The sequence below is a fragment of the Homo sapiens genome, chromosome 4 (genome assembly GCF_000001405.40).
Source record: "Homo sapiens chromosome 4, GRCh38.p14 Primary Assembly".
Classification (NCBI taxonomy): domain Eukaryota; kingdom Metazoa; phylum Chordata; class Mammalia; order Primates; family Hominidae; genus Homo; species Homo sapiens.
In genome coordinates this window covers 127,968,194-127,991,886 of record NC_000004.12, presented here as the reverse complement: position 1 = coordinate 127,991,886, position 23,693 = coordinate 127,968,194, and the positions used below count along the sequence as shown (strand labels likewise).

General features: G+C 38.7%; 1 protein-coding gene across 19 annotated transcripts in view; it reads right to left on the bottom strand.

Moving 5' to 3' along the window:
• Positions 1-23,693, bottom strand: part of ABHD18 (abhydrolase domain containing 18) — a 74,548-nt gene that overhangs the window by 48,067 nt on the left and 2,788 nt on the right. For 10 of the 19 annotated variants that reach the window (NM_001366040.3, NM_001319305.3, NM_001319307.3 and 7 more), the window contains 2 exons: positions 8,840-8,948; positions 7,464-7,548 (listed from right to left, as the gene is read on the bottom strand). Coding sequence is in view for 5 of the 19 variants with exons in the window: in NM_001358454.3 (NP_001345383.1) it covers positions 2,066-2,166; positions 7,464-7,548; positions 8,840-8,931 (278 nt within the window). In the remaining 14 variants the exon portion in view is untranslated. Of the gene's footprint in view, positions 1-2,065; positions 2,167-7,463; positions 7,549-8,839; positions 8,949-23,693 lie in introns of all 19 variants that reach the window. The other 9 variants (NM_001366042.3, NM_001358454.3, NM_001366038.3 and 6 more) reach the window with 1 other exon arrangement.

Genomic DNA, 23,693 nt, shown 5'->3' with positions numbered 1-23,693 from the left:
TTCACACTTTATAGATTCATTTATAGGGTTCTGAATGTATTGGAATTCAGGATTCCAATACGTTCACTTAAAAGGTTAAGTAGGTTTCCATTACAGAATAATCTCTTCTTGACTGAAGAATTTTTCAAATGCCCATACATGTATCACTATTTTATCATTGCTATTGCAGACAAAATCTTAAAAGAAGAAAACACCTACTAACCAGAAGCAGCAAATAGTTTATTATCAACAGTGTAGGGGAAAAAAAGTACAGTAGTTTGTTCTTTTTAAATAAAATTAGCTAAAACATAAAATAGAAAACTGTGTAAAGATCTAGGTTCAACACTGATTTAGAATTAAAAACAACTTAAAAAACCCATTATCAGGCCAGGCACAATGGCTCACTCCTGTAATCCCAGCACTTGGGAGGCTGAGGTGGGCAGATCATTTGAGGTCAGGAGTTCGTGACCAGCCTGCCCAACATGTTGAAACCCCGTCTCTACTAAAAATACAAAAATTAGCCAGGTGTGGTGGGTGCCTATAATCCCAACTACTCCGGAGACTGCAGCAGGAGAATCACCTGAACCCGGGAGGCGGAGGGTGCAGTGAGCACCACTGCTCTCCATCTAGCCTAGGCAACAGAGCAAGACTCTGGAGACTCTGTCTCTAGCCTGGGAGACAGAGTGAGATTCCATCTCAAAAACAAAACAAAACGAAACAAAACAAAACACAAATCATTAACAGTGGCCGAGCATGGTGGCTCATGCCTGTAATCTCAGCACTTTGGGAGGCGAGGCAGGTGGATCCCTTGAGACCAGGAGGTCGAGAACAGCCTGGCCGACATGGCAAAAGTCCATCCGTACTAAAAATACAAAAATTAGCCGGGTATGGTGGCACACGCTTATAATCCCAGCTACTCAGGCGGCTGAGACATGAGAATCGCTTGAACCTGAAAGGCACAGCATACAGTGAGCACCACTGCACTCCATCCAGCCTGGGCAACAGAGTGAGACTCTGTCTCAACAAACAAACAAAAAACCATTAACAAGACTGGGCTAAGAATAACCTCTGTACATTAACAAAGATCCAAAAAGCCAGTTTTCAACTATTGTATAATTAACCACTTAGGAACCTCAGGTATTTCGGAACATCTATTTACATTCTCAAACTGATATGCTAATTACATACCAATCCTGAGGCACTTTACTTAGCTGAACTGTGTAGTCTGTCTAGTCTAAGTTACCACGTTTCTTAATTTCTTCACTTAAAAGTACTTCTTCTTCCTATTATAAAATCAACACATGTACATTGTAAAAATTTAAAACTAAAAAAAAAATTTTTTTTTTGAGATGGAGTCTCACTCTGTGGCCCAGGCTGGAGTACAGTGGCACACTTGGCTCACTGCAACCTCCGCCTCCTGGGTTCAATAGATGCTCCTGCCTCAGCCTCCCAGGTAGCTGGGATTACAGGTGCCTGCCACCACACCTGGCTAATTGTTTGTGTTTTCAGTAGAGATGGGGTTTCGCCACGTTGGCCAGGCTGGTCTAGAACTCCTGACCTCAAGTGATCCCACTGCCTTGGCCTCCCAAAGTACTGGAATTACAGGCATAAGCCACCATGCTTGACCTAAAACTAAAAATTTAAAAGCCAAAAATCTCTCCACTCAGAGATAAGCAGAGTTTGTATATTCATATATATCCTTTGGAAACTTCTCTGTGATTGTTTGTGCATACTTGTGTGTTTACAAAAATGGAACTAAAAAATCATTTGTATTATCTTCTTAAACTTTCACACATTGTGACCATATTTCCATGTTACTAATGGTATCCACAGTATGGATAATTAATCGCCTATTGTTGAACATTTAGGCATTATCTGTTTTTTGCAACTATAAACAATGCTTCAATGAATATCCTTGTACATATACTCCTTATGTTCTTTGAAGAATTAAAATATCTTCTAATTCAGCCTTTTCAATAATTTAGGCCTGCCTTGTTACTCCTAATTTCAAATAACATAGTGTTGATATTATAATTTTAATGAACATAAATAATGTATTCATCTTTTTGAACAAAAAAATTCTTACCTTGCAATAACAGATTCAATTGGCATGATATCAGGCACATAGTGAGCCATGGGGGAAACAAAGTGTCCATCTAAGATCTTACAATCTGATTGCTCTTCAATCTAAAAGAAAATCAAAACCAAGATGTATGCAAGAAAACTAAGATATCTTGGTCTGTCATGGATGTTCTTCTAATAAAAAGTTCTATCCAATTAAAATCATGTTTTCAGCACCTACTATGTAAACTTTTTATGCCACTGTACTTTATTTTAAATTATTTTGTGTGCATAATCATTGAATGTATTATGGGGTACATGTGATGTTTTGATACAGGCATACGAGTTGTAATGATCAAATCAGGGTAATTGGGGTATCCATCACCTGAAGCATTTATCATTTCCTTGTGTTAGGAACATTCCAATTCCACTCTTATTTCAAAATATACAATAAATTATTGTTAATTATAGTGACTCTATTATGCTATCAAATACTAGATCTTATTGATTCTATCTGACTGTACATTTGCACCAATTAATCATCTCCACTTTATCTTCCCCTCCCTGCTACTTTTCTTAACCTCTGATAATCATCAATCTATTCTTCATGAGTTCAATTTGTAAAAATATTCAGCTCCCACATATGAGTGAAAACACATGAAATTTGTCCTTCTGTGCCTGGCTTATTTTACTTAACGCGATGTCCTTCAGTTCCACCCATGTTGTTGCAAATGACAATATTTCATTCTTTTTTATGGTTCAATAATATTTCACTGCATATTTGTACATTTTCTTTATCCATTCATCTGCTGATGAACACTTAGGTTGATTCCGCATCTTGGCTACTACGAATAGTGCTACAATAAATATGGGAGTGCCGATATCACTTTGATACAGTGATTTCCTTTCTTTTTCATATATACCCAGTGGGGGGATTGCTGGGTCATATGGTAGTTCCAGTTTTGGCTTTTGAGGAAGTTCCATACTGTTCTCCGCAGTGGTCGTACTAACTTACATTCCCACCAACACTGTACGAGGTTTCCTCTTTTTCTCCAGATCCTCACCAGCTTTCAATACTGCCTGTCTTTTGGATAAAAGCCATTTTAACTAGGGTAAATGATATATCACTGTAATTTTGATTTGCATTTCTCTGATGATTAGTGATGCTGAGCATTTTTTTCATATACCTGGTTGGCCATGTGTATGTCTTCTTTTGAAAAATGTAAAATGTTGGCCAGGCACGGTGGCCATATCATCCACAGATATGTTTTTGTTTCTGATTTGAATTAAAAACAACTTAAAAAACCCATTATCAGGCCAGGCACAATGGCTCACACCTGTAATCTCAGCACTCTGGGAGGCCAAGGTGGGCAGATCTCTCGAGCCCAGGAATTCAAGATCAGCCTGAGCAACATGGCAAAAACTCTGTCTCTACAAAAAATACAAAAATTAGCTGAACGTGGTGGCATGTGGTTGTGGTCCCAGCTACGTGGGAGGCTGAGGTGGGAGGATCACCTGAGTCCAGGAGGTCACAGCTGCAGTGAGCCATGATTACACCACTGCAGTGCAGCCTGGGTGACAGAGTGAGACTCTGTCTCAAAACAAAACAGTATTTTGTTTACAAAAAAACCAAAAATTTTTTTTGTAGTCAGTTGGACAAATGTCATCTATTAAATAACCCACATATTTTTGCAACTGACTTAAAACGCTACTATTATCATGTACTAAATATCCATATATTTCTACAAGTTATTTTCAATCCTTCATTAGGTCTTATTTGCCTATCTTTTACTTCTCCACCAATATCACGCTGTGTTGACAACTGCAGCATTTTAATACTCATTGTTATATGACTGAACTAGTCTTTGTTTACTACTCTTCCTTACCAGAGTATTCCTGATCTGATTGTACTCTCAAGTATTTTCTCAAAATAATTTTAGGATGCTTGTATGGATCTAGGTTCTATGTTCAATACTTTAATTGAAATTGCATTGCATTTTAAAAAATGATTAAGGAGACATAATATCTCTATAAAACTGAATTTTTAATCCAAAAAAACGTTCCAATTTAGTTTTTTATGCCTATTAGCATAAAGTGTTCTTCTTATGTATTTATTTTTATTTATTTATTTTTTTTTTTTGAGTCTTGCTCTGTCACCTAGGCTGGAGTGCAGTGAGTGCTATCTCGACTCACTGCAACCTCTGCCTCCCAGATTCAAGCAATTCTCCTGCTTCAGCCTCCTGAGTAGCTGGGACTACAGGCATGTGCCACCATGCCTGGCCAATTTTTTTCTATTTTTAGTAGAGATGGGGTTTTGCCAGGTTGGCCAGGCTGGTCTCGAACTTCTGACCTCAAGTGATCCATGCTCCTCAGCCTCCCAAAGTGCTGGGATTACAGGCGTGAGCCACCACACTCAACCCTCTTATGTATTTTATAAGAATAAGTTATTTGATAAAGCAGCAGCACAAACTAATACATTATTATTACTATTTTTTGAGACTGGGTCTCACTCTGTTGCCAAGACTGGAGTACAGTGGCATGATCTCGGCTCACTGCAACCTCCGTCTCCCAGGCTCAAGCAATTCTCCTGCCTCCGCCTCCCAAGTAGCTGGGATTACAGGCATGCACCACCACACCTAGCTAATGTTTGTATTTTTAGTAGAGACGAGGTTTCACCATGTTGGCCAGGCTGGTCTCGAACTCCTGACCTCAAATGATCCACTGCCTCGGCCTCCCAAAGTGCTGATATTACAGGTGTGAGGCACGGCACCCAGCCCATTATTAATTATTAATAAAGGAAGCAGAACAAACTAATGTTAAAGGGAAAAATAATGCAACAAATTAGTGTTCTGATAGCTGGCAACTTGGTAAGAATAAACAATTTTAGAATTACACATATTATACATAACATGGATTTTAAAATTAAACAATATACAACCCAACAATAAAAAGATGGATAACTCAATGTAAAAAGGAGCAAAGGGTTTGAAAAGACAGTTCTCCAAAGAAGGTATATAAATGGCCAATTCACACTTGAAAAGATGTTCAGCCTCACAGTCATTAGGGCATAGCCAGAACCACAAGGAAATACTTTTATACCCACTATGATGGCTTGGACAAGTACAAGGTTGGTGAGTATGGCAAAATTGGAATGTTTATTCACTGCTGGTGGGAATATAAAATAGTATAGTCACTTTGGAAAACAGTTTGACAGTTCGTCAAAAAGTTAAATTTAGAGTTATCATCACATGACCAATAATTAAACTCTTCAGTATACACAAGAGAACTAAAAACATGTTCACACAAAATCTCATACTTGAGTATTCATAGCAGCATTATTTATAATAGCCAAAAAGTGAAAACAACCCAAATGTCCATCAATTTATGAATGGATAAGCAAACTGTGGTATACAATACAATAGAATATTATTTAGCTATACAAAAGGATAAAGTTTTTCTTGAATGTTCTGATGCTATAAAAACAAAAACAAAAAGAAGTACTGACACATGCTACAACATGGATGAACCTTGAAAACATTATGCTAAGTGAAGAAGCCAGACAAAAAAAGTTACATATTGCATGATTCCATTTATAAGAAATGTCCACATTAGGTGAATCCATAGAGACAGAGAGTAGACTAGTGATTGCCAGCAGGTGGGGGAAGAGGCAATGGAAAGTGACAGCTAATGGATACAGGGTTTCTTTTTAGGACAATGAAAATATTCTAGAATTAGTGACAATGTTGATGGCTGCACATCTTGGTAATATAATTTAAAAACCATTCAATTGTATATTGTAAAAGGGTGAATTTTATCTCAATTTTTTTTTCTTTGAGACGGAGTCTAGCTCTGTTGCCAGGCTGGAGTGCTGTGGCGCGATCTTGGTTCACTGCAACCTCCGCATCCTGGGTTCAAGCAATTCTCCTGTCTCAGCCTCCCGAGTAGCTGGAAAGCTGGAACTACAAGTATGTGCCACCATGCCCAGCTAATTTTTGTATTTTTTTTTTAGTAGAGATGGGGTTTCACCATGTTGGCCAGGATGGTCTCGATCTCTTCACCTCACGATCTGCCCGCCTTGGCCTCCCAAAGTGCTGGGGTATCTTTATCTCAATTTTTAAAAACTAAGGGTAGTAGATCAGTAAGAATGCATTCCAAAATCTTAACAGCAATTCACTCTTGGGAGGGAAATGGAATTAGGTGGTGGAAAGTGGCAGAGATTAAAGGAGATTTTTTTTTAACTTGGTATGTTTTAAATTTTTTTGTTTTAAGTTTATAATTTTTTAATAGAAAAAAATAAAGAAGATAAAAATATTTAGCAAAATTTGAGGGTCAGGGAGAAATGTTATTAATTCAGAAGATACAGAAAGAACTTCTATGATATAGAGGAGGAGTTTTCAATCTATAAAATTTTGTTCTTAGCAGTCGAACTCTTTTGAAAAGAGAAATCTAAAAGATATCCAAAACATATGAGATGCAAGTACAGTTACTTTGCTTGAAGGCGAGTGAGGGATGTGTGAAACTTGCCCATTTGTATCCCCTCTCCAACAATACCTCCAAGTATGCAATTACATAAACCTAGAAATATTTTACAGAAAACCAGGTGCCTCCTTAAAAAAAAAAGATTACAAAAACATCCTTGCCTTCTCTAATTTTATAGCATTTTCTTTCTACCATTCTCTCAGGAATTAACTGTATCCCATAATATTTTTCCTGGTGTTATTTAACAGTTGTTTGTTAATAATTTCTTATGTGCTGATTCTCCAACTAGATTATTCCCCTTTAATACTCACTATTGTTCTGTAATGTTGAGTGGTTTAACCCTCCTGAGCCTAAAGACAGAAAATGAGGTCCAGAAATATCCAGCCTAAATACTTCTCTATATATTTAGGCAAGTAATAAACATATGCTTCCAATATATGTGAACATAGTTATTAAAAACATCCAGTTAACGCACAAATAGTATTATTTATTTATTTATTTATTTTTGAGACGGAGTTTCACTCTTGTTGCCTAGGCTGGAATGCAAAGGCGTGATCTTGGCTCACTGCAACCTCCGCCTCCGGGGTTCAAGTGATTCTCCTGCCTCAGCCTCCCGAGTAGCTGGGATTACAGGCATGTGCCACCATGCCCGGCTAATTTTGTATTTTTTTTAAGCAGAGACGGGGTTTCTCCATGTTGGTCAGGCTGGTCTGAACTCCCAACCTCAGGTGATCCACCCGCCTCCGCCTCCCAAAGTGCTGGGATTACAGGCGTGAGCCACCACACCTGGCCCACAAATAGTATTCTTTAAATATGAAATGAAAAATCCATACGGCACTCATATTTTAGTGTTTATTGTTGTTATACTCCAATATGTAATCTATTCTTAGACATATTTATGTCAAACCACAATTCCTATAACTGTGTTTCTCTCATTTGAATACCTTATCAATGTGTACTGGATAATCGCTTGAAACCAGATTCTGGCATCTTTCCCGATTTCCAATCATCTTTCTGAATTCAAAGAGTCTATTATGGGAAAGAAGACAAAAAGGAAAAAATTAATCTTTTATATCACCTACTAAGCACATTATAATTGAGACTGATTAACAGTAATTAAAAATTAGCAAATCCAGTTCATAAGCCATATTAAAATTTAATTTTGATCACTGAAGCGATTAGGCTGTTGTTTTTTCCCAAACTGAACACTTTTTTCAGAAAAATGTGAGAAACAATAGATTGTTCAGAAAGTAATTAATACATACAAGACTCAAAATTAAAGGCACCAATCCTGAAAATTCATTTTCTTTCTTTTTTTTTTTTTCCCCCTTGAGACGGAGTCTCGCTCTGTCACCCAGGCGAGTGCAGTGGCGCAATCTCAGCTCACTGCAACCTCTGCCTCCCGGGTTCAAGCAATTCTCCTGCTTCACTCTCCCGAGTAGCTGGGATTACAGGCATGTGCCACCACACCTGGCTAATTTTTGTATTTTTTTATTTTTTTTATTTTTTTTGAGACGGAGTCTCGCACTGGCTGGTGTGCAGTAGCGCGATCTCGGCTCACTGCAACCTCCACCTCCCAGGTTCAAGCAATTCTCCTGCCTCAGCCTCTTGAGTAGCTAGGATTACAGGTGCCCGTCACCATGCCCGCTTAATTTTTTGTATTTTTAGTAGAGAAGGGATTTCACTATGTTAGCCAGGCTGTTCTCGAACTCCTGACCTCGTGATCCGCCTGCCTTGGCCTCCCAAAGTGCTGGGATTACAGACGTGAGCCACCGCGCCCAGCCAATTTTTTTATGTTTAGTAGAGATGGTTTTACCATCTTGGCCAGGCTGATCCGGAAATTCTGACTTCGTGATCCACCCACCTCAGCCTCCCAAAGTGCTGGGATTACAGGCGTGAGCCACCAATCCTGGCTGAAAATTAATTTTCTTAAGTCCAGATTTTCCTGTGAGCTACGGAGTATTCCAGTTTCAGAGTCATTACAAATTCGGGTTATCTAAGAAGACTCAATCCTTGGAAACTACATACAACTCTAATCAGCTTAATAATTATTGAACTCAAAAATCTACTCTGTGTTTCTGAGAGTTCTGTATTTAAAAAATCTGAATTATTTTTACAACAGTATCATTTATGATATGGGCTAAAATTTAAGAGAAATAACTAAAAAGACAAAAGTAAAAAGGAAATAATTACATTTTACATAGTTTAATTTGCTGGACAATTGCTCTGTATTTGAGAGTAAAGGATTTTATAACAAAGTTTTAAATGTTCATTAAAACAACAAATTCAGAACAAGTATTCAGGAAAAAAAATTGCTTGCCTTTTGAGATCTTCTGGCCTTCCCCATCCTCTGATAAAAAGTTTTGTTAGGAGAAGTCTCCGGTATAGAATATCTAACTTGCTCACACCCATCAGTAGCAAACAAGCATCTATAAAACAAAATTTAAAATGGCTTTAAAATATTTTATTTGTTTCAAGGTAGCAGGTCAATTTTCTAACCATTTCTTTGACTATCATGTAAAATTAAAGATTGAGACGAATTAATTCCTTTGGAAACAAAATACAAGATTTGGGGGAAAAAAAAGAGCTGAGTTGAAAATAGAGAAGATGTACACCTTTGAACTTCACTGAACTGTGAATTTCTCTAGGGTAGGATCTTCCCATCCTCAGTACAGTTGCTGAAATAAGTACCCTCTATTTGCTGGATAAAAATAGTAGGGGATAATATGTGATAGTGTATTATCTGCCAGGCACCACTATTTTAAGAACTACAAACACACACGCAGGTTCTCATTAAACCTACCAACAATTTTGAGGAAGGATTTATTATCCCAATTACACAGACAAGAAAACTGAGGCATAGAGAGTATAATTTACCCAAGGTCACACAGCTAGTGGGAAACATAGCTAAGATTCAATCCCAGGTACACAGCTCAACATCTAACTACCACACTACACTCCCCTCTACTATACTACAGTGAATGAAAAATAATAAATAATCACTGCTACTACTTTTATACCATTTATCTATCTTCTCAAGTATTTCTAAAGATTTTTAAGTATCTACCTCTATCTTGTCAAACTGAATGGTATGGTTTTGATTTGCGGGTGAAACCTGATTCAGATTCAGGGTTTACTCTACTTAAATAAATGAAAAATGAAAATCTGCATTTCCTTTTTCAATTGTTTTTTATTTTTTCTCAGATCTTAGGAAATCTGCATTTCCATCAATGGGCTTTAAGAAATACTTATCCATTGCTTCAGATTTTTTTGAAACCATCCCTTTTATCTTCTATTTTTACTTTTTCATTTTTTAATAACCTGCAAGACCAACTTAATATTCCTCTGTTTGCCTACGTGTAGAATGTAACCCACCATCAATTGGGCTGGCATTTAAGTTGATTTTATGGTTGGACTAGCAAAACCAAGTCTTTCATACTGCCTCTCATAATTCTCAGTACCAAGAAGAAACATTTACTAGCTAATGTACTTGTCAGACAAGACAACGTATGGCCAGAGTATAGGATTAAGTGTTTTTTTAATAGCACCCATCTCTCTTTTTCCCAGTTTCCATGTGCTCTTCAATGGCTCTTTGATAAATGTGGGGTTTTGACACAATAATGTTCAAAAAAATGTATTGCATATACAGTTTTATTATACTATTTGTGTCTACCACTATACATAAACTGGTATTAATTACTAGATTCCTATAAATTATCATCCATCCAGTGTTGAGTGCAGTTCACCATAGATGAACCATCCCTGGGTGGGTTAATAAGTTCCTGCACTTCTAAGAATATGTATGATTTTTTTCATTCAACAAATATTTATTAACTGCTTATTATATTCCAATCATTATTTTAGGCCCTGTGCCACAAAAATGACAAAGGAATGGTCTTGTTCTCATTGATCTTATATTTTAGTGGAGGGAAAATAATTAAAAATTAAAAAATCTATCTAACTATCAAAATAAGAGTAGAATAACACTATGATGAAAATGAAACAAGGCAATGTGCTAACAACTAAAGGGCTCTTTTGGTAATTTAAAAAAATCTTTGAAGAGGTACCAAAAATACAGATGCTCCTCGACCTACAATGGGATTGCATCCCAATAAACCCATCATAAGTAAAAAAATATCATACGTGGAATATACATTTAATACCCTGACAAACCTATGGTCAAGTTGAAACAATCGTAAGTCAAACCACCATAAGTTAGAGACTGTAAGTATTTAAGCCAATAGCTACATGAAAAGGAGCACCCAAGTCTTTAAATTGCAAATCTCATTAAAATCATACACCTCTTGAAATCTACCCATTACTATGTTCCAATGAGATTTGTTGAAAATTATCTACCCAGTGGGTAAAGCACAGGTACAGATAATTCATATAAGGGAAAGGCAAGAAAAAAAAATTAAATACTGTTTTTAAATTAAAAAATGCTCACTGTAAAATTTTTAAATTCAACAATATGAAGGTATGTATAGTAAAAATGGAGAAAATAATCCCCTTCCAATCACTTTTTTTTTTTTTTTTTTTTTTGAGATGCAGTCTTGCTCTGTTGCCCAGGCTGGAGCGCAGTGGTGCGATCCCAAGCTCACTGCAACCTCCGTCCCCTGGGTTCAAGCAATTCTCCTGTCTCAGCCTCCTGAGTAGCTGGGACTACAGGCACCCACCACCCCACCCCAGCGAATTTTTGTGTTTTTAGTAGAGACGGGGTTTCACCATGTCGTCCAGGCTGGTCTTGAACTCCTGACCTGAGGTTATCCGTCCGCCTTGGCCTCTCAAAGTGCTGGGATTACAGACATGAGCAACTGTACCTGGCCCCCTTCCAATCACTTCTAATTTTGCATTTCAGGCATATCTAGTGCTAACAGTTTGGATTCTACTCTTTCTGATCTTTTTCTTGTTGATGTTACTTATTTACCTACACACACTGTCTTGCTCTGTTTTGTGTTGCTATAACAGAGCAACACCAGCTGGGTAATTTATAAAGAAGAGAAATTTACTTCTTAAAATTCTGCAGGTTGGAAGTCCAAGGTTGAGGGGGAAACATTTGGTGAGGACCTTCTTGCTGCATAACATGGTGGAAGGTATCACATAAGAGAGCAATAGAGAATCGAACTCACTTTTAGAGCAAGCCCACTCTCCAGATAACTAATTCACTTCCAAAATAATACCATTAATCCATCCATGAGGATAAAGCCCTCATAACCTAATCACCTCTTATTAGGACCCACCTCCCAACACTATTGCATTGGGGATTATGTTTCCAACACGTGAACTATCGGGAACACATTTAAGCCACTGCACATACTTTTTAAAAAATTACTAAAGTAATGTAACACATTTTTGGCAGAATTAAGACAATATAAAAATTTTATAAAGTGGAGAAACTTCTCTTCATCACTTCTTTGTGTCCTCCCATTGTCTTTTTTTTTTTTTTTTTTTTGAGATGGAGTCTCACTCTGTCGCTCAGGCTGGAGTGCAGTGGCACAATCTTGGCTCAATGCAACCTCTACCTCCTTGGCTCAAGTGATTCTCCTGCCTTAGCCTCCTAAATAGCTGGGATTACAGGCACACAGCAGCACGCCCAGCTAATTTTTGTATTTTTAGTAGATGCAGGATTTTGCCATGTTGGCCAGGCTGGTCTCAAACTCCTGACCTCAGATGATCCACCCGCCTCGGCCTCCCAAAGTGCTGGGATTATAGGTGTGAGCCACTGCGCCCGGCCGCCATTGTTAATATTTTAATACCTTGTTCTATCCATTTAATACCTTGTTCCATCCATTGGTGTTTCTTTGTTTTGTTTTGAGACAGAGTCTCGCATTGTCGCCCACGCTAGAGTGCAGTGGCGCAATCTCAGCTCACTGCCAGCTCTGCCTCCCCGGTTCAAATGATTCTCCTGCCTCAGCCTCCCGAGTAGCTGGGACTACAGGTGCCCGCCACCACGCCTGGCTAATTTTTTGTATTTTTAGTAGAGACGGGGTTTCACCATGTTAGCAAGGATGGTCTCGATTTCCTGACCTCGTGATCCACCTGCCTCAGCTCCCCAAAGTGTTGGGATTACAGGCATGAGCCACCGCGCCCAGCCTTTTTGGTGTTTTTTAAACTTGGAAGAGAGTAACTACTAATTATTTTTTCAGTGCTATTCCTCCTCTTGTTTATAAACAGCTGCAAAGCTCTTTCAAATTCAGGGTATACAGATCCACCTCATCTTTTTAACAGGTAAATTTAGGACATTTATATTTATTATGATGATAAATATTTGGTTTGTTGTTTTTTATTGATTCTGTAGGTTGTTCACATTTAGCTATTTTACATTTACTTTGAATAAACAGTTTGACTTACATACTTACCATAAAGTTGATGTTTCAACTTTATGATGAATTTATACAATGTAACCTCATCATAAACTGAGGAACATTTAGACTTACAGTGGTTCAACTTACGATTTTTCAACTTTACAGTGGGTTCGTTGGAGTGTTAAGTGCATTTTCAACTTAACAATATTTTCTATTTACAGTGGGGTTTATCAGGATGTAACCATATCATAAGCTGAGGAGCATCTGTATTTAATATGTGATATATCACTGTGGCTAAGAGAACAGACTCTAGAGCCAAATTGGGTCAAATTCTTACTATAAGACTTTTAACAAGTCACTTAGCCTTTTTGTAATTCATCTGTAAAATGGAAGTAATGATAATACTTACCTCAAATAATTGGTATGCAATTTAAATTAGTATATAGAAGGCACTTAAACAGCTCTTTGAAAATTTAAATGCTACACCTAGTACAGAATCAGGATTTTAAGTCTTTATCAGATTTATACCAAAAAGCTTCTACCATTCCATTAATTTTACAAATTATATTTACATGTATTCTGTACGCTTAAATGTTTATATAATCAACCAATCCATCTCATCACATCCAGCAGAACTCCTCAATACGCTGTAAAAGTATTCAAATTTAGTTCTTTAAAATATTAAATTCCTTCTTCTCATTGGCGGTCATTGTAAAATGGAGTATTTTTCTTCTCTTTACTAACCATTTTTCCAGGAACATTTTCTCTCTACTGTTTTCTAATTCCTATTTTTAAAATCTAGAAATCTATAAATCCATACACCTACTATGTACCCACAAAAATTTTCAAAAATAAAAATCTAGAAGTCTTTCATAAACTTGGATTAAGTTCTAAAATCTATATTGTTTTAAATTTCTTTCAAATAGCTCTTATAAACTACAACTGTTGTTTTCATGTTTAAAATTCTACAATGAGTTTTCCATATATATTCAGTTTATGTCATGACATAAAATACACCACTGGCAATGTAATTATTTAATAGAGTGTTCAATCCATATATTAACTCAATAGCATTGTGAGTTTTAGTCTTCTCATCAAGAGATATACCTATTTATTCATTAATCCAGTTTTATTTATTTTCTCAGTTAATGTTTATGCTATCCTTTAAGTATCTTTACTACACAAATTCTGCTACTAATAAATTATTTAGTATTTGTGATAACTACCATAAGATTCCTTTTCTTTGTGTTTTCTACTTAGATGCTTATTACTAATTCATAAAAAAAAAATTTATTCTAAATGTTTCTTCTGTCCTGCAAGTTTTGTATTAGAATTGGAAATGAATGCATCAAACATTTAGCAGAGACTTATTCGTTTGTAATGCAATATGCATCTTTCTACTATACTATGCCACTCCTCTAATTTCTTCAAAGTTAAGCCTATCAGAAACCCAAGATGAAAAATCATAAAGAAAGTTCTATGCATGTTACTACCTTTATAGGATTAAGCTTTTCAATCTGTATTACCCTAAATATTTTTATAACTGTCTTTAAAACAGATTTTTAAATTTATTTTTTATTTTTATTTTTTGAGATGGAGTTTCACTCTTGTTGCCCAGACTGGAGTACAGTGGCATGATCTCAGCCCACTGCAACCTCTGCCTCCCAGGTTCAAGCCATTTTCCTGCCTCAGCTTCTCAAGTAGCTGGGATTACAGGCATGCGCCACCACGCCCAGCTAATTTTGTATTTTTAGTAGAGACAGGGTTTCTCCATGTTGGTCAGGCTGGTCTCGAACTCCCGACCTCAGGTGATCCACCTGCCTCAGCCTCCCAAAGGGCTGGGATTACAGGCGTGAGCCACCACGCCCAGCTTGTTTTTTTTTTAAACAGATTTCTGATTATACCTGAATAACATTTTTCCAAAACAGCCTTAATAATATACCTAATTGGGAGAAAATATTGATTTTAAGGTACACAAAAACTAAAGGATATTTTATTATTTAATTAGTTTTTTTTTTCTCTGAGATGGAGTGTCGCTCTGTCGCCCAGGCTGGAGTGCAGTAGCACGATCTTGGCTCACTGCAAGCTCTGCCTCCCGGGTTCACGCCATTCTCCTGCCTCAGCCTCCCAAGTAGCTAGGACTATAGGTGCCCGCCACCACGGCCAGCTAATTTTTTGTATTTTTAGTAGAGACGGGGTTTCAGCGTGTTAGCCAGGATGGTCTTGATCTCCTGACCTTGTGATCCGCCCGCCTTGGTCTTCCAAAGTGCTGGGATTACGGACGTGAGCCACAGCGCCTGGCTAAAGGATATTTTAAAAACAACTTATACTAAGTATATCCAATGACTGGTAGGATACCTAGTAGAATTCCTCATGGAAAAACAATAAATAGATGATATAAACATAAAATTTTAGTTTCCATTTTAATATGTTTCCAAATAGTATCTGAAAAGAATGCTATAAAAAGACTAGAGGAGAGACCCTGCAAAGTTTTTCCACAAAAGGCTGAACAGTATATATGATAGGCCTTGTAGGACAAGAGGCAAAATTAAGGATATTATGTAGGTATTTCAGATAACATTTTTTTCATTTTTTTCATTTCAGAGTCACATTTTTTGCATTGAGGAAATTCAAAATGTCATAAAAATAACTGAGTATAATTTTTTGTAATGTATAATTAATGAGAAGAATAAACTTTTTTTTTCTTGGGCGTTTGCTTAATTGAGATTCAAAGTTAGTACCCCATAATGAAATTGGGTACAAATGTTCACCTGTAAAATCTATTCTTAACTTGAAAGACATAGAAAAACAGGCAGGTTGAACAATAGGCCATAGCTTCCTGACCCCTGGGTTAGAAAATCAAATAAATCATAGGTATGACACAAATATAACACTAATGTTATAAATGTAAAGATACAACTATAAATCACTAGATTAAAATTACAGGCCAGACGTGGTGGTTCATGCCTGTAATCCCAACACTTTAGGAGGCTGAGGCAGGCGGATCACTTGAGTTCAAGACCAGCCTGGCTAACATGGCAAAACCCCATCTCTACTAAAAATACAAAAATTAGCTGGGTGTGGCAGCACATGTCTGTAATCCCAGATACTCAGGAAGCTGAGAAAGGAAAATCACTTGAACCTGGGAGGCGGAGGTTGCAGTGAGCCGAGACTGTACCACTGCACTCTAGCCTGGGTGACAGAGCAAGATTCCATCTCAAAATAAAATAAATAAAATAAAATAAAGTAAAATAAATAAGTAAATTATCCCAACCCTATAAAATGGGCATAAATATAATGCAAATATTGATTTAAAAAAATTCTATATGCCATAAAGTAGACCTAAAATTAATATTCTATCTAAAGTAAACACTAGTTATCTAATCAGCCATGATTTGTTTTCCTCCATAAAATTTAGAATTTGGCAGAAGCTTCTTCACTTCCTAGGTTATAAATAAATACATAAAAGGTGGGAGCTTTTAGTGTCCATTGGCAGATGAATGGATAAGCAAAGTATGTACATACAAACAACCACAAACACACACACAATAGGAATATATTCAGTCATACAAAGGAAGGAACTTCTGGCACATGATACAACATGGATGAACTCAGAGGACATTACGCTAAGTGAAATTAGTCAGCCACAAAAAGACAAATATTGTATGATTCAATTTAAACAAGATACCTAGAGTAGTCAGATTCATAGAAGCAGAAAGTAGAAGGATGGTTGCCCAGTACTGGGGGGATGGGAAAAGGGGGAGGCTACTGTTTAATGGGTATAGAGTTTCAGTTTTGCAAGAAGAAAACTGGAGATGGATGGTGGTGATACAGTTGCGCAACAATATAAATATACTTACCTTTGAACTATAGAGTTAAAATTATTAAGATGGTAAATTTTGTTACTGTATTTTACCACAAGAAAAAAAACTGAGAAAACAAAATAGAATTTGGGGTTGAGTCTCCAAATAAAATTTTGAGGGGAAGTAAATTGATGCTTTCTTTTCCTTTTGACAACTTTGTCAGTAAGCAGTAGTTCACTATTTTTTTTTTTTTTTTTTTTTTGAGACACAGTTTTTGCTCTTGTTGCCTAGGCTGGAGTGCAATGGCGCGATCTCGGCTCACTGCAACCTCCACCTCCTGGGTTCAAGCAATTCTCCTGGCTCAGCCTCCCAAGTAGCTGGGATTACAGGCGACAACCACCACACCCAGCTGATTTTTGTTATTTTTAGTAGAGACGGGGTTTCACCGTGTTGGCCAGGCTGGTCTCGAACTCCTGACCTCAGGTGATCCACCCTCTACCCTCCTCAGCCTCCCAAAGTGCTGGGATTACAAGTGTGAGCCACTGCGCCCAGCCAGAAGTAGTTCACTATTTATCTCAGAACAGAACTTGCCAGATGCCATGGCTCACACCTGTAATCCTGCACTTTGGGAGGCTGACACGGGTGGATAGCTTGAGCCCAGGAGTTCAAGACCAGCCTGGGCAACATGGTGAAATTCCATTTCTACAATAAATACAAAAAATTAGCCAGATGTGGTGGTGCATGGCTGTGGTTCCAGCTACTTAGGAGGCTGAGGTGGGAGGATTGCTTGAACTGAGTAGGCAGAGGCTACAGTGAGCCAAGATCATGGCTACTGCACTCCAGGCCAGGGTGACACAGTGAGACCTTATCACACACAAAAATAATACAGTTGGGTGCAGTGGTCCATAGTGGTGTGCGCCTGTAGTCCCAGCTACTCAAAAGGCTGAGGTAGGAGGATAGCTTGAGCCCAGGAGAGTGAGGTGGCAGTGAGCTATGATAGTGCTATTGCTCTCCAGCGTGGGCGACAGAGTAAGACTCTGTCTCAAAAAAAAAAAAAAAAAAAAAAAAAAACAGAACTTAAGGTTAATATTCTCTTCAAAAAAGACCATTGCATAATTTAAATAGTTGGAAGCTTTTAATAACTAAGACCTTTAAAGAATATAATTTGAAGAACAAATCTCTTGCATCTAGTTTGTTTCCTCCATCTTCTTCCCTTTTCCTTGAGGATTATCTTCCAAGAACCCAGCCTAGTTGGGTTTTCTGCTTCAGAACCTCATCTGGCTTCAATCAAGGTGTCAGCTGGGCTTCATTTTCATCTGTAGGCTTGAAGAGACAAGAACTCACTTCCACGCTTACTCAGGTTGAAGGCAGAATTCATTTTTTTTGTGTGTGGCTGTGGGACTATGAGCTTCAATTTTTTTTTTTTTTTTTTTTTTTTTTTTGCTGTTCATCAGCCAGAGGCCAGCCTCTGCTCCTGGAGGCTATCCACAGCCCCCTGTCACATGGCTCTCTTCATAGGAAGTTCACAACATGGCAGCTATTTCTTCAAGGCCAGCAGGAAAATAAGTGTGAGCCACAGGAGCCATACCTTTGCCATATAACATAATGTCGTCATGGGAATAACAGCCAATCACCTTTGCCATATGCCTGGTTAGAAAGCAAATCATGGGTTCTGCCCAAACTCAAGGAAGGGGATCACACAAAAATATGAACATCAGAATTTGAGGATCTTGAGGGCCACCTTAGAAACTGTCTGCTACACTGAGAGAAACCAATTATACTTCTCAGCATTTGAGTAGAGTATCTGGGCTGACACCCTCAATAACAGGTGTTACTTACTTTCTTCACATTTTCCTACCAGTAAGGGGGAAAAAAAAACCCCCAAACTCCACAGACTTGAATAAACATTTGTTTATAAGCAAATTTTGAAAGTTTGTCTAAATCAGCAAGGCGTGGTGGCTTACATCTGTAATCCCAGTAGTTTGTGATGCTGAGGTGAGAGGACCGCTTGAGTCCAGCAGTTCAAAACCAGCCTGGGTAACATGGGGAAACTCTGCCTCTATGAAAAATACAAAACTTTCCCGGGAGTGGTGGTGTGTGCCTGTGTAGTCCCACCTACTCGGGAGGCTGAGGCGGGAGGATTGCTTGAGCCTAGGAGGCAGAGGATGCAGTGAGCCAGGATCACACCACCGCACTCCAGCCTGGGTGACAGAGTGAGACCCGGTCTAAGAAAAGAAAAGAAAGGAAACGAGTGGGGAGGGTAGGGGAGAGAAAAGATTGTCTAAATCATGTTTATATATTTTCATTCACTTAACACCTTTGTCAGAAACAACAACAAAAAAACCAAAACAAAGTAAAAACACTTGCCTCTTAGAATTTTTTTAATCATGAAACAAATGGTAAAAGGCAAACTAACTTCTGAAATGCGTCTTAATTATATATTTTCTACTTTAGTGCAATTACAATCATGTAAGTATATGTAGTATATAAATTGCTTGACTAGTGTTTTTCTTGTAGAGGGCATGTCACTCTGGAATAATAAAGAGTATATCTGGGCCAGGCACGGTGGCTCACGCCTGTAATCCCAGCACTTTGAGAAGCCAAGGCAGGTGGATCACTTGAAGTCAGGAGTTCAAAACCAGCCCGGCCAACATGGTGAAACCCTGTCTCTACTAAAAATACACAAAAATTAGCCAGAGCGAGACTCTGTCTCAAAAAAAAAAAAAAAAAAAAAAAAAAGAGTATATCTGGTCTTTGACCTCAGCTCCTGGCATGAAGTTTCTAAAACCCCTGGTATTTCTTAAGTGATGAGTGTCTGTTATGCTAAACAAGCAACTCCCTGTGGGCCCCCTGAAAGTTTCAGAATCAGGGCTGGCCACCAGAAAGGAACTTTGGGACCCTCTGACCTCCACAGAGGGGAAGGGAGCTGGAAAGTGAGTTCAATCACATGGCCAAAGATTCAATCAATCATGCCTATTAATGAAACTCCAGTAAAAATTATGGACACTAAACCTTGGTGGAGCTTTCTAGTTGATGAACACCTTGGTGCGTCAGGAAGGAGATGCTCCCTGAGTCCATAGGAAGAGGCCAGGTAGTTCCACATTCATTCCCATACCTTGCCTCATGTTTCTCTTCATTGGGCTGTTCCTGAGTTGTATCCTTTATAATAACCTATAATCATAAATTTAGCTGTTTCCTGAGTTCTGAGTCATTCTAGCAAATTATAGACCCACAGGGCTCTCAGGAGCTCCTAAATTTTTAGCCAAGTCGGTCAGAAGGATGAGAGGCCTGGAGACCCCTGAAGTGCATCTGAAGAACTGAGCCCTTAACTTGTGGGGTCTGCATTAATTCTAGGTGGTTAGTGTCAGAATTGGGAACTGAAGTACACCCAGTTGGAGTGGAAATGGAATAGATTACTCTTTACCAAAATTCTGATTAGTGTTACATATTCCAAATAAGATGCCAACTCTTAGGCCAGGTGCGGTGGCTCACGCCTGTAATCCCAGCACTTTGGGAGGCCGAGGGGCAGATCACGAGGTCAGGAGATTGAGACCACCCTGGCTAACACGGAGAAACCCCATCTCTACTAAAAATACAAAAAACTAGCCGGGCGTGGTGGCGGGTGCCTGTAGTCCCAGCTACTCAGGAGGCTGAGGCAGGAGAATCATTTGAACCAGGGAGGCAGAGGTTGCAGTAAGCCAGGATCACACCACTGCACTCCAGCCTGAGCGACAGAGCAAGATCGTCTCAAAAAAAAAAAAAAAAAAAAAAAAAAAAGCCAACTCTGGACATATTCAGAGAGTGGCAGGGGGTGGCATGACATGCTATGGCATGAGGAAAAATAATTCTAGGTGATAATTTTAATTATTTTATTCCCTGGGTCTTTCTGGAATTGTTAAAATATACAGCATCAATATATCTTTTGCATACATTTATTAAAGTGCAATAGAACAGTGGCATGTCATTGGAATGCAAGACTTCATTGTCTTTTTTTTTTTTTTTTTTGAGACAGGGTCTTGCTCTGTTGCCCAGGCTTGAGTGCGAGTGGGGCAATCATGGCTTACTGCAGCCTCAATCTCCTCAGCTCAAGTAATCCACCCAGTGCAGCCTCTAGAGTAGCTGGGACCACAGGCACACAGGCCACCTTCCTTGCCCGGCTAATTTCTTTCTTTTTTTTTTTTTTTGAGACAGAGTCTGGCTCTTGTCACCCAGGCTGGAATGCAGTGGCACGATCTCAGCTCACTGCAAACTCCGCCTCCCAGGTTCAAGCAATTCTCCTGCCTCAGCCTTCCAAGTAGCTGGGATTACAGGCATGTACCACCACTTCTGACTAATTTTTGTATTTTTAGTAGAGACAGTGTTTTACCATGTTGGCCAGGCTGGTCTGGAACTCCTGGCCTCAGGTGATCCACACACCTTGGCCTCCCAAAGTGCTGGGATTACAGGCGTGAGTCACCATGCCCAGCCTAATTTATTTTTTGTAGAGATGAGGGTCTTGCTATGTTGACCAGGCTAGTCTCGAACTCCTGAGCTCAAGCAATCCTCCCATCTCAGCCTCTCAAAGTCCTGAGATTACAGGCATGAGCAACTGCACCCAGATAGGACTTCACTGCCTTTTGCAATATATTATAGGTCACTTATTTTCTTTCTTTTTTTTTTTTTTTTTTTTTGAGACAGAGTTTCACTCTTGTTGCCCAGGCTGGATTGCAATGGTGCGATCTCGGCTCACCACAACCTCCGTCTCCCGGGTTCAAGCAATTCTGCCTCAGCCTCCCGAGTAGCTGGGATTACAGGCATGCACCACCACGCCTGGCTAATTTTGTATTTTTAGTAGAGACGGGGTTTCTCCATGTTGGTCAGGCTGGTCTCAAACTCCTGACCTCAGGTGATCTGCCCATCTTGGCCTCCCAAAGTGCTGGGATTACAGGCGTGAGCCACCACACTGGGCCCACTTATTTTCTTAACATCAGCATGAAATGAACCAGGGGCATCATCTTTCTTTGTAACACCCATGGCATCAATAACAATAAGTAGAATCCACAATAGTAAAATAACATTTAATTAAAAATCCTGGCTAGGCTGGGTGTGGTGGCTCACATCTGCAATCCCAGCACTTTGGGACGCTGAGGAGGGAGGATTGCTTGAGCTCAGGAATCTGAAACCAGCCTGGTCAACATAGTGAGACCTCGTCTCTTAAAAAAAAAAAATCCTGGCCAGGCGCAGTGGCTCATGATTGTAATCCTAGCACTTTGGGAGGCCAAGACGGGAGGACTGCTCGGGCCCAGGAGCGCAAGACAAGCCCTGGCAACACAATGAGACCCTGTCTCTACAAAAAAATTTTGAAATCTAGCCAGGTGTGGTGGTGCACACCTGTAGTCCCAGCTACTCAGTAGGCTGTGGAGGGAAGATTGTGTAAGCCTGGGAAGTTGAGGCAACAGTGCACATCGTTGCACCACTGCACTCCAGCCTCGGCAACAGAGCAAAATCCTGTCTCCAAAAAAAAAAAAAAATTCCAACACCTATATTTTACAGTAAGAAGAAAAGTAATATACTGCTCATGAGATGCTCCATTTTCCTAAACTTTGATATTCTTCTAGATTGGTAGATAAAACCAAGATAAAGCAAAAATATAGAATTAGAAAGTTGCAAAGGAAGCAAGAAAGGACCTAAGAACAATGAACTTTTCAAATATTTTGTAAAGTACTATATTTATTGTTTGCCTAAATTATTTACTTATTTCTAGTTTTCAACCCAAACTAGAAAACCTTCCCAGTAGCTCATGCCTGTAATCGCAGCCCTTTGGGAGGCTGAGGCAGGCGGATCACCTGAGTTTGGGAGTTGGAGACCAGCCTGACCCATGGAGAAACCCCGTCTCTATTAAAAATACAAAATTAGCCAGGTGTGATGGTGGGCACCTGTAATCCCAGCTACTTGGGAGGTTGAGGCAGGTGAATCCCTTGATCCTAGGAGGTGGAGGTTGCAGTGAGCTGATATTGCACCATTGCACTCCAGCCTGGGCAACGAGAGCAAAAGTCCGTCTCAAAAAAAAAAAAAAGAAAAAAGAAAAAAAGAAAACCTTCCCAAATCACTTTAATTCCCTGCATAACAGGCCACAAAAGTCAGCACTCCAAACTTAGACACAGCATATTCCTTACTATATTTACCTACTAATAAACAACTAATAAATGAGGAAAAGAAAGTAAATCAAACGCACATATAGGTTAGTATAAATTTGGTTCTGGGGTTTGGGGTCATACAAATCTTCTTAAATCCCATTTCAGCTCCAAGAACAACATAAAAGACAGTTTTTGTGGAACTCTCTAAACACGTAAGTCTTTCTAGACAGGGTTGGCTGGGTCCAGGGTATCTAGTGCCACCATGAACAGATAAAAATCCAAGCCCAGGGTGAACGTAACTCCAAATCACCAAAATAAGGCACCATCTGGAGTCATGCCAGATACTTAAAAGTCCCCACTTCAGGCTGGACAGACAACAATGAGCTTCTGCAGAAATAGAACCTATTTTTGAAGTATATATCAAGCTAAAATGACACAGTTATCAATGTGAAAGGGAAAAGCAAAGGGAAACAAAAATAGAAGTTCTAGTACAGTGCCAAGAACTAAAAAGTCTTTCCTAGAAATGAGTTCTATTGCTAAAGTGACACTCATCATTTATTATGCTATCTAGTGCTTTTATTTCCTGTCATTTGGGTACCTAAGCATTTAACAATGCAATACTAATTTTTTCTGGACTTTTATCCTTACATTGGTGATACATATCTCAAAGGCATAAATGAAAATTTAAAAAATATCACCATGTACAAGAACTTATTCCCTTACCTAAAAAAGAAGACTTTAAATTTTATCTTGTAATTTCACTTCTAAATAATGTCTATACAAGTTTAAGTAGCTAAGAAAGGGTTTAGATACCTCAGATATCCACTGTTAAAATCTACTTCCCTAGCTTCACAAATATAATTCAACAAATATAATTCCTTACTCTTACACTGAACAAGAGTAAGAAAATAGGATGTTTGTTTGTTTATTTTTTGAGACGGAGTCTCGCT